We start from the raw sequence: 3,405 nt of genomic DNA, 5'->3' as shown, positions 1-3,405 counted from the left end.
CCCACATCTGCCAGCCCTTTTAATAAATACATTAATCAATTTATAAGAGTGGAATCCTCATTACTGTGGACAAAAAAGAGTCAAACTATGTAAAATACTTGAAGAGGTTTATTCTGAGCCAAATGTGAGCGCCATTACCCATGACATAGCCCCAAGACATCCTGAAAAGTGTGCCCAAGGTGGTCTGGTTACAGCTTGATTTTATACATTTTAGGGGAAAAGAAGTTACAGGCAGAGACATAAATCAATAGATGTTAGGTGTACATTGGTTCAGCCTGGAAAACGGGACATCTTGAAGCCAGGTAGCTGCGTGTGGGTTAGGGTGGGAGGGGTGGAGGGGGGTGAGGGTTGGAGATAACTTTCAGGTCATAGGTGGATTTAAAGATTTCCTGATTGAAAATTTTTTGAAAGGGCTAAACTCTGCCTGAAGAGTTGAAGTCAGCGGAAAAAAAATCTAGTTAAGATAAGGGTGGTTGTGGAAGCCTAGGCCTAGGTTTTTGTTATGTAGATGAAGCCTCCAGGTAGCAGGCTTCAAAGAAAAACAGATGGTAAATGTCTCTGATCAGACCCTAAAAGACTGTTAGTTAATCTCTCCTGGATCAGGAAAGGACCCAAAAAGGGAAGAGGATTTTCTTTTCCTTTGAAAACCCATTAAAACTTTGGAGGGAACAAAAATACTGAAACCCCAGCATGGTTTTTTTTTTTTTTTTTTTTTTTTTTTTAAATACTATAGAAATCAGACCATGGTAGCTAGCATGGACATATGGACATTCCTGGTTAAATAATTCTAGGAAAAAAATCATTGATTTTAGGATCTGAAGAATTCTACCTAAATAAATACTCCATGTGTTACAAGTAACAAGAAATTTAATTGATTGGCTAGTTTCTTGGAAATCTTAGATCATATACAAAGTTATATCTCCAGCTAAATATGTTAGAAAATAGCATTTCTTTAGTTTTCTAAAGAGAAGAAAAAACAGGCAAATATCAATAGATTGAATTTAAGCTACATGCTAGGATGAACTTCTGTATCTTTTTGAAAAGCAAAATGTGTCTTTGAGGCAATTATCAGGATAATTTAAGCTTAAAAATCATTCACTTGAAATATCCACAGTCATGAAAATGATAATTTTTAGGAAACATATTATTCTGATAGCTTCTTCAATACATTCAATCACTTTATGGGGGATTAATGTAGACTAGAAACACAAGAACTTGACATGTTTTCCAAGGAATTTATGGATTTTCTATTTCTTTCCTTGAAGTTCCCAGATAAGTTTACCAAGAGTGATTCTAAATGCAAAATTAGTGCATCCAATTAATTCATTAAAAGGTGGTTGAATTCAGTTAAGTGATTATTTATTTTGGACGTTGGAGGGTAGAAGGAGTATGCCCTTAATTACACCAAATTACCAATTTGGTCGATTTCTTCATTTTTAGTGAGTTGTTTTGGCAAGGTGGGATAATGGCTCGGTTTATGTGATCTATCATTTGAAAAGTATATAATTTTTCTGAATGCTAGTCAGAGCACTTCATAATGCTGCTAATGGCTAACTGGAGGTTCAATATGCTGATGCATCTGCTTCCTAATGAGACTTTTACCTTGACAAAGTGAGAAATGTCACCTTGGGTCAGTCCCAGTTTTAGCCGACTCAGAACTCTGCCTCAGGTAATGGAAATAAGGAATTGATTTAGGGAGAGCATAGGGAATATTTTCCTTGGTGTTTACCCAGGACTGTTTTGTTTGAAACAAAAAATGAGTTATATTTTATGTAAATAAAGTATCAGGCCATGATAAAGATGTTAAATGTCTGTATCAATAACAATAAAAAGCCAAGAAATTGAATTTTTCAGTTCTATTAAAAAAAATTAGAACCAAAAATAAGTCTTCTGGACTTTCCCCCTTCTTCTTGCCCCAGCTTTTGTTCTCAGGCCTTCATCTTCTAATGACCATTACCTTAAAGCAAATTAGTTTTCTAGATCAATGTCTTTGTTGTCTCTCCTTTTCCATTTATTTCTCCCCTGGAATTTATTTCATGCTAATTGTGGTCTTGGCAACTTTACAGGTTCTAAGGGAGTATTTAAAGAAGGCTAAGACTGAGATATTTAAAGATGACTAAGAAGACCAATATATAATTATTGTTTTTAACCTACATTATAGTTGGTGAAGCTAAATAAATGAAAAGAATATTGGAAATGATTATTTATTAAGAACCTACTATAAACCAGACCATTAGTTAGACACTTCACATGTATAACTTTATGTCATCCTTGGAACAACTTTGGAAGTTTGGGATTATTATTCTTGTTTTATAATATGACAATGTAGGTTTGTCAGAATTGGGCTTCAAACCCAGGTCTGGCTGACTCTGCAGTTTATACTTCTTCCACAACATCAAAACTGAACAAAGAGAAGGCACAGAAAATTATCTTAATGGTTACTGAGTGGCATAAATCTGAGTTATATTACTATGACCTTAAACTTTTCATGTAATAGAATTTTATAATAATTTCTTTTGCCATGTAATACAATTTTTACATTCTATGATCTTTTCCTCTTGAGTAAGCAGTTAACTCTTGTTAGCTTCAATCAAGCACGGGTGAATTAGCTCAGATATTACCATTTTACAAATGATGGGTTGAAGAACCTGTCATAGTCAAATAGCTGACACAGAGTTGAGGAACTGGACTTTACCTCTCTGTGGATGTGTTGGAATGTGCTAGGTACAAACTCTTTATAAAGGGAAAATTTTGATCAGGAAGTGCAGCCATTCTCTAGATCCTCTACCCGGAATGGAAAACTGATGCTCTCTGTACCACCAGAACTCAGCCTACAGAATATTGCTTTTTCTCTTCTCTGGCTGACATGTACTTCATTAAACAACAATGACTGTGGAGGAACTTGGGATTTTGAGGGAAAGAATGAGTGTAGCAGGAGTGTCAAAAATGGGAAAAAAAGGTTAGAAAGATGAGTCTGAAGACAGTTTCGCCTTGGGATGTCTTGGTTGCTATCTGTCAGAACATTGTCTGCATAATGGTCCTTTCAGCTTTGGAGAGACTCAGAAATATTTAATGATACTGAAAAGTAGAACACATGAATCAATTTCATAAATTTATTCTTTTACTTATTGTTAATCATCTCCGTTAATACATCTAAAAGTAATTACACATGAAGAAAAAGAATTGGTGACTTTAAATAATAACTAACTTGGGGGGGCTTAGGAACATTAATTTTATGTTAAGCCATTTGCCTCTCATAATTAGTTTGATGATACTGATGTTCTTAACAAATTAGATAAAGTAAATAGGGTTGAAAGATACGTTATTCCAAATTAAAAACAAGATATAATATGCTAGTATAAAACAGTGGTAATTGTGTGTTAGATTCTGGAAAGGAGGGGAAAA

At 34.5% G+C, this 3,405-nt stretch overlaps 1 annotated feature.

Annotated features, from left to right (window-relative positions):
* Positions 315-825: an enhancer, noted in NCBI's record as "NANOG hESC enhancer chr18:51595986-51596496 (GRCh37/hg19 assembly coordinates)". NCBI's record gives its function as "activates a minimal SCP1, AML or CMV promoter by ChIP-STARR-seq in naive H9 embryonic stem cells {active_cell/tissue: H9 hESC(naive)}" and the evidence as "EXISTENCE:reporter gene assay evidence [ECO:0000049][PMID:30033119]".

The sequence above is a fragment of the Homo sapiens genome, chromosome 18 (assembly GCF_000001405.40).
Source record: "Homo sapiens chromosome 18, GRCh38.p14 Primary Assembly".
Classification (NCBI taxonomy): domain Eukaryota; kingdom Metazoa; phylum Chordata; class Mammalia; order Primates; family Hominidae; genus Homo; species Homo sapiens.
Note: the sequence above shows the minus strand (reverse complement) of the source record. Positions and strands in the feature narration are given on the sequence as shown.